The 13,904-nt window shown below is 35.7% G+C and overlaps 1 annotated feature.

Annotated features, from left to right (window-relative positions):
* Positions 3,194-3,809: an enhancer, noted in NCBI's record as "OCT4-NANOG hESC enhancer chr7:119829996-119830611 (GRCh37/hg19 assembly coordinates)". NCBI's record gives its function as "activates a minimal SCP1, AML or CMV promoter by ChIP-STARR-seq in naive H9 embryonic stem cells {active_cell/tissue: H9 hESC(naive)}" and the evidence as "EXISTENCE:reporter gene assay evidence [ECO:0000049][PMID:30033119]".

Genomic DNA, 13,904 nt, shown 5'->3' with positions numbered 1-13,904 from the left:
TTTTGAAAGGGAGACCCTCAATTTTTTTTGTATTTTGCTACTTATGTTTAGCAGACTTCATTTACAATTTTGCGTATTAATGAGCAGATTAAATATAACCTTTTAGAAAACATCATGCCCTAGTCATGTCGTAGGTACAACATTTTCATATGATACTTTCAGTAATAAAATCCCTGAAAATCATCAAAACACAACTCCCTTTGCATACTATGCTGAAATTGTTTGGCTATGGTGATGTTCCAATATATGTATAAAATATAATAATATTACTACTTCAGTAGCATCTTAGGTGTGTTCAGTAAAAAAAAAGAAAGGGAAACACTTCTGTATGCTTGGGAAGAAATTTCAGCAGCAAAAGGACTCTTTAGAATATTTAAAATAAAACATGTGAACCCATCACTCAAAGTCATGAAGTGATAGGATGTTCTTCTTTAGGCAATCAGCTATTCATGGGAAGAAAAATTTGTCATTTACAGCTTTATGGTTTTGTTTTACAATTAAAGGAGTAAACTATAACCATTGATTAGTAAACTATAGGCTCCTATATAATTTTCTAAATATAAAATATGTTCTTTTCTATAAATATTAGAAACGCATTCTAGTAAAGAGAATTTAATGTGAACTGATCAAGTGAGAAGAAGTTGCATACATTTAAAAAAATCATGTAGTCTCATTTTTGTTATAAATCTTGTTTTTGTAGCCCATGTGTTATTTTCTTAATTACTTTTCTTTACCTAGCCATTGAAGATAAATAATTGGAAAACAGCAGCAGAACATCTATTATGACTTGGTATCAGTTTATTATTGAATTATTTCTATGAACTACTGCTGATATTTTTGTCACTCCACACTTTCATGTGTTGAAAACCTAATCATTAATTTGATGGTATTAACAGGTGGGGACTGTAAGGGGTGAATAGTTGATGAAGGTGGAGGTCTCATGAATGAAATTCATGCCATTATAAATGATGCCCCAAAGAGCTGCCTTGCTGCTTCCACCATGTGAGGACCTAGGGAGAAGTTACTATCTATGAGAAGGCAGGCCCTCCCTGGACACCAAATCTGCTGGCATTTGGATCTTATGCTTCTCAGCCTCCAGAACTGTGAGAAATAAACTTCCGTTATTTAGAAGCTACCGAGTCTACGGTACTTTGTTGTAGTAGACTGAATGGAGGCAGACGAGTACAACTGTCCTTGATAAAGATATTTGATTAAAAAGGTGAAGTTTATATAATTATCATTATGAATATACTTTCATGTAATATATTTTAGAAAATTAACAAAAATTTGGCATCTTTATTCTTTAATCAGATTATACCACTTGAATGCACTATATATGACTGATTCTCTGACTTTTCAAACACTAATGCCAATCATTTTTAACTACTTGATATAAGAAAGTGTTTATAGAGAAGGATGCTTTTGCAATTTGTTTAACTTCTAATAAGATAATACAGTGAATATTACTTCCATCACTTATATAAAAGTTTGTTAAAAATACAAAAGCAAAGTGTTTAATATTGGGAGGAGCTTAGTAGAAATAAAGGATTTATCTTAGCTGGTTTGTTTCTTTCCATTAGACTACATTTTGTAGTCTTTTATATTGTTCATTTTCCTTTGCCTGCCATGAAGATAAGGGACATGTGATGGAATGATTAATTGCAGGAATTATTGTATCTTGGCTCTTGACTCTATTTTATCTATTTTATCTTGGCTCTAGTATGATTGCTATATTTGTTTTCTGAAATGTAAATTATCTTTTAATTATCCAACCATTTATATGTACAAAATCTCCTTTTATGTTTTTAAAAATTATAGTTAGGCCAGGTACAGTGGCTCATGCCTGTAATCCCAGCACTTTGGGAGGTAGAGGTGGGCAGATCACGAGGTCAAGAGATGGAGACTGTCCTGGCCAACATGGTGAAACCTTGTCTCTACTAAAAATAAAAAACAAATTAGCCAGGCATGGTGGCACTTGCCTGTAGTCCCAGCTACTTGGGAGGCTAAGGCAGGAGAATTGCTTGAACCCAGGAGGCAGAGGTTGCAGTGAGCCAAGACTGTGCCACTGCACTCCAGCCTGGGTGACAGAGTGAGCCTCTGTCTCAAAATAAATAAATAAATAAATAAATAAATAAATAAATAAATAATAAAAGTTAAGATTTCTCATTAAAGCTTACCCTAATCCCAAGTAGTAACCAAAGTTATCCCTTTAGTTATCTTTCTAGAAGGTATCTTCTGGTGCCTTTATACTAGTGTTTCTTTATTGTAGATTCTGAGGTATGGATTCAAATACTTTAAATGTCGGTATATCCTTCCAAATTGCCTTCAGAGTGACTATAACATTATATATAAAGCATTCATTTATTCATTAATTTATTCAACCACATATGTGGTGTAACACTCAAGAAGATATATATTCTTGAATATATATATATATATATATAGAGAGAGAGAGAGAGAGAGAGAGAATATATATCTCAGGAATATATAACATCAAGACTGTAGTAATAGTGTAGGTATAAATAAATAGATCAAAGCCAAGAAAAGAACCACTAGGAATAGACCTACACATACATGGTCAGTTGATTTTATTCTCGAGAATATATATCTAATTGAGTGCTACAATAAGTATAACATCTTTTTGCGTTCCCAGACATATGCTTCTGTATCCTTTTCTCTGTCCTAGGAGGATCACCTACTTAACCACATGAATGGGCACCTTTAATCTCTGGCTTCCAATTGAGTTCAACCTCAGAGCCCTGACAAAAGAGCAGAGGAAGAAAGGAAACTAAAATTAAGGCTCCTCTTCTGTTTGGTTTCCTTGAGCTAGATGTATCCCAAGAAATACGCAGCTCCTCTTTTCTTCCAGGTTCCAGTAATCACCTTACTCCTCTTAATTCTTTGGCTAAGAGCCTCAGTGTTGTTAGCCCCAGGGTGCAAAAATACCCCTTGTGATTTCCCTCTCCTGATCCCACCTGGTATGTTTGTCCTTCACTAAGCATTCCTTGAATTATCCTGCATTGAGTGTGTCATCCCTCTCCTGCTTGGCCCTAACTGACCCAAGAGCATTTTAATTGCTAAACTCAACTTTAGCTGCTGGGAATACAGGAGGGAAAAACACAACAAAACAGTAACTGCTCCCACAAAGAAAAGCTCAAAGCCAGATGGCTTCACTGGTGAATTCTAGCAAATATTTTAAAAAGAAAAACAGAAACTATGAATATACTTTTAACAAAAAAAGCTTTATAAAAAGAGATATTTTAAAACAACAATGATATATTTAGCTTACAAATCTATGAGTAGACAAGTTGTGCTCACTCTGATGGGTGATATTTTTTGTTCTTGCCTAAGCTCATGCAGGCATTTGCAGTCAGGTGCTTGTTGGCCAAAGCTAGGCTGGTACAGGATGCACTCAGCTGGGTAAGACTGTCTTTTCTCCATGTGATCTTTCAATCCCAAGCAGGGCACCTGGGCTTGTTTGCATGACAACCAGGCAGAATGAAGAAGCATGCAAGCTTGCCTTGTATGTCAGCTTGGAAATGGCATATCATTGATTATGCCATATTCCACTGGTCAAAGAAAGTTGTACCTGCCAGAGGCTCTCAATGGGAGGAATTATAAAGTCATATTGCAAAGGTAAAGTAAGGCTATGGATGAAATCTGTTACAATTATCTAAATTCAATCTATACCTAGTTGTAAATCAACACAGAAATCTTTACCTGTGAAAATGGCCCAACACTTTTACTTTTTTCTTAAGCTTTTAGGAGTCTTTAAATATGTTTTGCATACAAGTTATTTGTCAGACCTATGCCTTGGGGATATTTTCTCTTAATCTGCAGTTTGCTCATTTATTTTCTTAATGGTTTATTTTGATGAGCACACAATTTTAATTTTGATGAAGTTGTATTTATCATTTTTATATTTTTTTGTAATATCTGAGATATCTTTGCATACTGCAAGATTGCAAAAATAATCTTTACATATTCTGCTAAAAAAATATTTTCTATTTTTTCATTTAGGTCTATGATGATCTTCAAATTACTTTTTGTTATACTATGAGGTAGTACTTGAGGTTCATTTATTTCCCATATAGTTATCTGACTATTTCAGCACCATCTGCTGAAAAGACTTTCCCATCACATTGCTTTGAATCTTGTCAAAAATTAATTGACCGCGTATGCGTGGATCTTTTTCTAGTCATTCTTTTTTTGTCACTGATCTATTTGTTTATACCTACGCTATTACCACAGTCTTGGTTTTATAGTAATTCTTGAGATCAGATAATATAAATCCTCCAAGTTTGTTCCTCTTTTTCAAGACTGTTTCAGCTATTCTGTGTCTGTTGAATTTTCATGTACATTTTATAAACTGCTTGTCCATTTCTACGAAAAATGATTGCTGAGTTCTGATTAAAGGGGTATTGAATCTAAATAACTCTACGTTAAAGAGGCAAACAACTACTTTAAAAATGAGCAGAATGCTTGAAAAAAATACTTCACAAAATTTATACGTGAATGGACTTAAGCCTGTGAAATGGGGCTCAATATTATTAGGCATCTGGGAAATTTAAGTTAAAACTATGATGAAGTACTACTTTACACCAAAAAGAACTGCTAAGATCAAAACAAATGACAACAGGAAATGGGGGCAAGCGTGGAACAGCTGGGATTCTCTTTTTGGCAGTTTCCTAAAAACTAAACTTTCATCCTTCCTGTGGTACAGCATTGCCACTCTTCAGTAATCCCTCAGGAGAAATGAAGGCATCGGCCTCCAAAAAGAGCTGTATTCTAATGTTTATGGTAGCTTTATTCACAGTTACCTAAAACTAGAAATAACCCAAATGATCTTAACAGGAGAATGGATGTACAATTTGCAATCTACACATACAATTGAATACTACTCAACAAAATGAAAAGGATTAATAAATTATTGATCCATGTAACAACATGAGTAAATCTCAAAAAAAGTTGAGTAAAAGAAGTCAGACAGAAAAGAGTGTATGTATACCCTATGATTTTCAAGTATACGAAGTTCAAGAGCAGGAAAAACAAACCAAAGGTGATAGAAATATGACCAGTGGTCTCAGTTAGGGTGGGAAAGTTTGGCAGAAAAGTCTATGAAGAAATTCTCTGGAGTGAAGGAAATATGATATATCTTAATTTGGGTGCTAGTCACACAAGTGTATACATTTGTCAAAACTCTTTGAACTGTGTACAGACAATCTATAATTTCACTACATATAAGGTATAATTCAATAATAACAATGATAAAATATGACAAAACCAAAACAAATTATTCTTGAAGAATGTAAAGACTGCAGTTGTGCCTGTATGTACTGCTCTAGTCCTCCTTTAACTTTACTGCAGGACAAGGCAGAATAGGAGGAGCCTATTTGCCTCATTTGCCAGTTTTTGGAAAAATTTCTTCCTTTCGCTGAAGTGTAATGACAAATAATTTCACTTCAACAATCAGTATTAATCATAAAGTCACGTTATCTGAACCACCTACCAACACTTCTGCTTATTTTTACAATGCCTTTCAGTTCTGACAATAGCCTGTGGTATTTCTAACCTTTAATTCCTTGAAAACTCTTTGTTCAATGGTGGAAATATTGCTCCTGTATAAAGTAATACCTGTAAACCAACATGACTCAGAATCATGAGAACATAAGGCAACAATCCGTGTAAAATCACTACAGTTAAATAGGAGAGATGTAACTCCTACTTCCATACTTGGTTATACTGATCCATGAATTTTGATTTAAGAGAAGCAGCACCATGTATTTATTGGCACTCCTAATGTGTAGTGTATATTGTAGGACAGTGCTCTAATATCACAAGGTGTTATTTCCTGTAAAGCAATATTTCTCCATTCCATAATGTTAGTTACTTCTGGATGGTGGTAGACATGGCAAAAGACCAAAAAATCTTCAGCCAATTGCCTTATTTTTTTTTAAACAAGGAGTATTTTGGTCAGAGTAATGTTCTATGGAGCCCTATACTAGAACGTAAGATAGTAAGAATCCCATAGATAATTCAGTTGACAAGAAGAGTAAACAGAGGAGGAGAATCTAAATTCAGAGTAAAAACTTATTCTGTTGATAAGAAATTGTTGCCTCTGAAGATGAGAGGCACCTGTATAATCTTTGTGTCACCAGTTGGCTTGCTGGTTGCTCTGGGTATGGTACTACATTTGAACCACAGAGGTGGTTGCTAATGTGAAAGCACTGGATGCTTAGTAGTAGAGGTTCCTAATTAAACCTTGTTGAGGATTCTATGTTAAAGTAAAAGTACAAATGATTAACTCTGTTACCATGGCTATTTGTTCAAAAACTTATTAACACCAGTGTGTCTGAAAAAAAATTGGCAAATTGACATAAATTGGGCTATTTTGTCTGTGTGATTACTGAAAGAATCATTCAGGAAAGAATCTGATGATTTGTGTATGAGGCATACATTTCTTGCAATGTGGATCTATTAATAGGTAATATAGCCCACAGCCCTGGATCTCCTAGAAAATCCACTGAAATGACAGAAACCTATCATTTTATTATGGAGCAAAAGGGGCTTACTGCCTGATGTGCTAGAAGCCAATATAATGACACCAGGTTTTTGAAAAAAAAAAAAGAAGAAGAAGCTTTATATTCAAAGTCGACTCTCAAGGAGATGTAAATCAAGCTCAAATCTGTCTCCCCATGCTGGCTTCAATGCAGTCTTTTTATTAGAAATGGTTCAGGGGATGGATTCTGAGATTAGTAGGTGATTGGTAGAAGGAAAGGGGAGGTCTGGAAAGTCCTTGGACATGTGCAGTTCATGGTAACTCATGGGTTGCATGTGCAAATTCAGGGGGAGTTAGCGTGAAACACGTGGTGGAAATTCAGACTGTGACGTCAGTAAGCTCCTTCTGCACAAACTCCAGTCAGCCATCTTAGTTCCTACCAATTTCAGCCAGTTGTTTTTCATCTCACAAGCAGAGGGCATTTCGGCATTGCAGCAAGTTGTTTCTTTTCTTATGTGCTATCCTGTAAACTCAAGAATGTTTGTTAGTTACCAGGTTCTTACTCTTTGAGATACAGTTTCAATATTAGCTTTTTAGGACCTTGCTTCTTTTCTTATATGCTATTCTATAAATCCAAGAATGTAGTCATTGGTTTAACTCTTTAGGCCACAGTTTCGATTTCATGAGATTTATGTCCCATAACTGACACCCACGTGCCATACTAAGACATTTGAATATCTTCTGTGTCTTACTTTTGAGAACATATTAGCATTACATCATCGAAATAGTGTGTAATTTTGATGTTCAGTGGCTATGCTAATGTGATTAAGAACTCTTTGGATTTTGGATGACTACATGGTAAAGAGCAGAGGCATTTATGTAAATTATAGATAAGAAGGAGATGGCTTATTGCTGTCACTACTTGGTAAAAGCCAACTGTTTCTAGTATTCTCTTTATTGGAATACAAATAATTTGCTAGATCAGTAGATGCATAACAGGGTCCAGCAGTTATATAATTTACTCAAGTTAAAAGGCCACATTTACATTAGCAGCTCTCTTTAGTATGAGCCAAACAGTCAATCTAAAGGGGAATGTGACAGCATCACCCTGGAATTTTCCACTAGGATGAAATGTTCTTTTAGATTTACTATTTTGAGCAGTGGTGGGAGAGCCAAGACTTCTACTTGCCTTCTCATACAAACCTAGCTCCAGATATTCAGAGATGTTGAATGAATTTATTCCAAATACACACTAAAGAATTGGAGAAATAATCAAAATACTAAGGGCCAGCTGAGTCATGTATGAGCAGCAATCTAGCCAAAATTCAGTTGATCAATGATGCTCCCTCCCACCTTGGTTAGGAGATGGATAAGAAGTTCACACATGATGGATGAACTCCAAATGTCCTTGTCCTCTATGTATCTGGGTTCCTTTAGCTAAATTTGTACTCAGGTAGGGTCCAACCAAGGAAACAAAAGATAGGCTTATTACAGTATTTAAAACATAAATAATGTAATACATGGAATTTGTTAAATAGGTGGTGGAATATCTGAGAATCCACATACTGTAACGAATGATGAGAAAAATCCAGCTTCTTGCTATTGCTGTTACCATCCATCAGCATGGATGGACAAAGGAAGGAAGCAGATTTGCTAGAAGCCAAGCATCATAGAGTCAACTAGAAGAAGCTGAAATCACAGCAGACCTGTCTTGTGAAAGCTGGGGATGTGGACAAGATGACAGTCATTGAAGTACTCTGTGTGAAAAACAGAGAATGTGTAAACTAAATATTCTGGCTTGTCCCTCCCACCTTCCAAATTGCCTCTAGTTCCTCTTGTTAACTGAGCTAAATGGCAAGCCAACTTGCAGAGCCTGGAAATAAAGCTTGTAGGACTCATACCCACTGCAATGCAGTACAGAGCAGGAAATAGGTGAGAAATAGATCTAAGCTCAAATAGACCAACGAATGGCACGTTATACCAAAGGTTCTGATAATCCACTGCTGAGAAATAAGCCATACCAAAACTAAGTATCTTAAAACAATGACAATTTATATTTTGTTCATGAAGAGGCAAAAATGTACAGGGCTCTGCTATACTCAGTGTCAGCTACAGTGATCTGGAATTATCTGACATTTTGCTTACTCACTTGTCTGGTGCTTGATGCTGGTCATCTCCTGGGACCTAGCTGAGGCTGTGCTTGGAACAGCTCTATTGGCCTTTCCATGTGGCTGCTTGGCATACTCACAGTATGGTGTCTTGATTCCAAGGGTGAATATCCTGTGAGGAATAGTTTGTGAGCTGTTACTTCTGACATAGTCACAGGCCCGTCTGAATTTCAAGGAGAGAGACCATAGCCCTACACCTCTTGGTGGAAGAGTGTCAAAATCATATTATAAGAGGACATGTGAGATGGAATATATTGGTTTGGACATCCTCAGAAAGTATACCTGACATACCAAGAAATTTGCAGAATTCCACTTCTTTTAGTTCAGGCAACTGCTTGAGTATATTATTATCCAACTAACAAACTCCAAAATTATATTATATCACACAGCTTTTTGAATTCTGAATCCCTGATAAGTGTGTCCAAATTGTTGAACTTAGCCTTCTGCTCTGTCATCTTAGAATCTATCCCCACATATTCCTCAGGTTGTTCCCAGTATAAATTCTCAAAATTTTGAGATTTGAGTTTGTACTTTTGTGGGTTTAAATCTGTTATTTATTTATTTATGAGACAGAGCCTTGCTCTGTCTCCCAGGCTGAAGTGCAATGGCACAGTCATGGCTCACTGCAGCCTCTACTTCCCAGGCTCAAGTGATTCTCCCTACTCAGCCTCCTGAGTAGCTTGGGACCACAGTCATGCACTACCATGCCTGGCTAATTTATTTTTATTTTTTTGTGGAAATGGGGTCTTCCTGTATTGCCCAGGCTGGTCTCAAACTCCTGGGCTCAAGTGATCCTCCCGACTTGAACTCTCAAAGCATTGGGATTACAGGCATGAGCCACCATGCCCAGACTGGGTTTAAATTTATTTTGTTCCTTTGAGACATCCTAGACTCTAACCTTACAAGACTTGAGGGTGTTTTGAAATAAGTAATGAAAAAATTTGCTTTCCTTTGCCAATAAAGTGCCTTAGTGACATTATCACAAGAACTTCAAGGAAGATATCAAAAGCCTCAAAAAATAGGAGATATTTTTATCTTTCCAAGGAAGGTCTTGATTCCTCTATTATGTCTTCCGTTAAATGAACAGGCCCCCCTTTTTCCAAACATGAGTCTAGTCAAGGCTTTGAATTCAGCTATTGGTATAGTTTGGTAATTATAGATTAAATATTATGGCTATAATTGATAACTTTACTGTAGTAAGATAAATTTCTCATATCCTGGTTAGATTTTGTGCTGGGAATTTTTGAAATTCAAGTTTATAGTTCATTCTCTAAAATTTTTGACCTGTTTAGAAACAATCCACCAAGACTTTCTTGTATTACTCATTATCGTATATTTTATTATGATGTCTTACTGGTCCTTCAAAATCTTGCCTTCAATAAACTTTTCAGCCTAGGTGATCAAAGATTATTATTGCATATAATCTAAACATGTAATAGAGATCAGATTGTAGAAAGCACTGAAAACCATTATTGTTATTATTAATGTTATTATTTATCCCTTTTTATGAGACAGGCAGGGATATCTTAGTGAGTTTTTAACAAAAGAGTGAATAATCTGAATTAATTTTTAATAGTCTTATTCTAGATGCTCTGCCAAGAGTAGATTGTAGGAACAAACACAAAAGCAGGGAGGCCAGTATGTACTCTATTGAAATGATACATTTGTACCAAACTACAGTGAAAATGGACAAATTTTGAAGGTGAAGCCAATAGGATTAGCTGAGTAATTGCAGATGAGATGCGACAGAAAGGAGCCAAGAAGGAAAATAATGTTACTATTTACCAATATTGGGAAGAAGGGATGCTTAGCAGGTCATTAAATGGTGGGGATGGGGCTGGGTATCAAGAGTTCCACTTTAGATATAAATTTGGGGTGTTCATCAGACATTAAAATTTAGATGTCAAAGAAGTTGTTAGATATTTGAGCTAGAGTTCAGGGAGAGGCTAGATGTAAAGTTTAGGAATTGACAGCATATAAGTGCTATCAATTCATTTCATGTATTGAAGAAATTACATGTGATCACCAAAGAAGTCATTACAGACAGAGAAATCCAGAACATAAATGTAAGAGCACTACAATATTTACAGCTGCTAGCCTGAGAACAATTAATTGAAATATTAAAAGGGTGCAAGCCATGGTATCAAAGGAAAATTGGGATACATTTTATGAAGTCCTAAACAAGGAAAGTAGGTCTTGCCAGGAGAATGGAATAATCAAAATGACAAATGGGACAGATAAAGGAAATGTGCAGATGTGGGCTGAGAAACGACCATTGGCTGTGACAACATAGCATTCATTGGTCATATTAAAAAGACCAGTTTCCATGGAGTAGAAGCAGTGAAGAACTGACTGTATCAGGTTCAACAGCGAAATACAGAAAGTGAGCACAGACAACATAGTCAGAGTTTCAGTGGGTATTGGAAATGTTAAAGTCATTTGTTTATTTGAAATTCAATTTCTATCTTATAGTAACTATTATTATTAAATTGGTGCAAAAGTAATTGTGGTTTTTGCCATTAAACCACAATTACTTTTGTACCAACCTTAATATTTCTATTTTATATCAATTCCATTCTGTGTCTATTTTATAATAATTAATTTATTATTAATTAACTACCATCTGTGAAAGATAAAGTTGTGGCACTATAAACCTCAATCCAATTTGTTCCTCCCTAAATATTTAGGAAATATTTTTATCTGGTTACCTTGTAACACTTACATTTCTGCAACTACACTTACTGTAGTCTGCAACTATAATTCTCCTGGTTTCAAATCTTAATGTCATATTTATATGACTTCAGTAAATACCACCAGCCCTTCTAAATGGCTTCTCCACTTCTCAATTATATGTTTTGACTCTCTTTTGGTTAGCAAAGTTTAAATAAGTAGTTTTTGATTTTAAAAAAAAAGGCTCATGAAGGTGTCTTTGAGTTTTTTCATATTTGAAAACATCTTTCTTTTTTTATATTTGAGTGAAAATTAGGTTGAATATAATTTTCTTGGTAATGATATTGCCTCAATACTTTTAACATTTTACTGAACAGTTTCTGATTTTGTGAATGTCTTAGTCCAGCCCGATTTTCTCTTTTCAGGTGACTTTCTTTTTCTATCTAGATGAAGTATACTTTAAAAATATTTGACCTTTTTAACAGTCAGCATGTAACTCAAAGTTGATTTTATCTTTTAACTCATTTTGCTATAATTGGCATATTTTAATCTACTGATGCCAGTTTTCATTACAGGAAATTTTGCTGTATCATTTCTCTGAATACATTTTTCAGGTTCAGTTGATGCATTCTCCATTTTAGGAAGCTTCTGTTGGATCATCAGTCTCTTTGTACCTATTATCTCATTCTTATCACTTTAATCTCTTTGTCCTTTACCTCAGTGTTTAAAGTAACAGTACAGATTTCAGCAATGACTAATCTTCTTTGCTATTTATAATTTATTTCATTAGATAAGCTGTAGTATTGTTTCAGTTTGTAATATACTTCCTTTCCTCTGCAATCTTTTTCACCATCATTATTAAACAAGCAGCATATGTATGTATGTGTGTGTTCATGAGATTTTTAATACTGGGGTAGTTTTCTGTGTATTTGTATTAGAGATTTTTTTTCACTTTTCTACCAATTTGATTTCCTAGTGTTTTCTTCATTAAGATTTTCATTTTTTTCTTTGATAAAAAGAAAAAGCAAAAACAGGTTAAATTTCTTGTCTAAGAAAATCAGTACATAGATGAACGTTAGATCCTAAGTATTTTCTTTTTTCCTAGTCTAGGTAGGTATTATTCTATTCTATTATGTTCTTATCTGAACTTGGGTCATTCAAATTGTAGAAACTTCCTCAAATTGCCAGGTGCAGTGGCTTACACCTGTAATCCCAGCACTTTGGGAGGCCGAGGTGGGCGGATCACCTGAGGTCAGGAGTTTGAAACCAGCCTGACCAACATGGTGAAACCCCGTCTCTCCTAAAAATACAAAAATTACCTGGCCATGGTGGTGCTTGTCTGTAGTCCCAGCTACTCTGGAGGCTGAGGCAGGAGAATCACTTGAACGCAGGAGGTGGAGGTTGCAGTGAGCCGAGATTGTGCCATTGCACTTCAGCCTGGGCAACAGAGTGGGACTCCGTCTCAAAAAAGAAAACAAAAAACAAAAAAAAGAAACTTCCTCAAGTTTTGCCATTTTAGACTGTGAAAAATAACTACATAGGCTGGCTATTAGGCCTTATAGTCAGTAGGCTGCCATCCTTTTTTAGATGCATTTGTGATGCATCTCTATTTGAGTTAGTTTCTTCCTTCTTTCTGGCCTGGTCTTGCTACTTTGTTTCAGAAGTCAAAGTGGTTATAAGTCATAGACAATAAATTAAAACAGGGGTCATCTACACTGTGGTATTTTCTTACATATTTTGACAAATGAATGGTTAATGTGCCTGGTATCCTTTCAGTGCCGTTGCTACACTGCTTCTCTTAGGGCTACTTCAAGAGTATATGGATGGAAGGTAGATGTGGAGAGCAGGAATGAGGACAGGGCATGGAGTGAGAGAAACTTACTCTTTAGGGCCCCTAGCTTGGCTGGGCCTCTGCAGAAAAAAATATCTTTTCTGTAAACAAGAGTTCCAGCAATGTTTTCCTGATCAGTCTTTCTGTCACCCATTCAAGTAGAAACTATGTGATCCTTAGTCACGATCTCTTTCTAGGCCAGCTTCCACTTTTTCAGACTTTCCCTCCTGTCAAATGTCATTGCAGTGGCTGCGGAGATTTTTTATTTTTATTTTTTATTTTTTTTTCATTTTTGGCTGACTAAGTAAGTTTTGAGTTGAAAATAAATATTTTTAGTTTAGTTTTTTTTTTTTTTTTTTGAGACAGAGTCTTGCTGTGTCACTCAGGCTGGAGTGCAGTGGTGCCATCTCAGCTCACTGCAACCTCCACCTCCCATGCTTCAGCAATTCTGTCTCAACCTCCAGTGCAGCTGGGACTACAGGTTCCCACCACCACATCTAGCTAATTTTTGTATTTTTACAAAATTTTTTTTTGTATTTGTATTTTACAAAAATTTTGAGTTTCACCATATTGGCCTGGCTGGTCTTGAAATCTTGACCTCAAGTGATCTGCCTGCCTCGGCCTCCCAAAATGCTGGGATTATAGGCATGAGCCACCACGCCCAGCCCATATTTTTAGTTTTGAGTTTAGATGAGATGACTTCTTTTATGTTTGCTTTTGCCAGGAGCCAAATTTA

The sequence above is a fragment of the Homo sapiens genome, chromosome 7, assembly GCF_000001405.40.
Source record: "Homo sapiens chromosome 7, GRCh38.p14 Primary Assembly".
NCBI lineage: Eukaryota > Metazoa > Chordata > Mammalia > Primates > Hominidae > Homo > Homo sapiens.
This window is presented reverse-complemented; position numbering and strand designations above follow the sequence as displayed.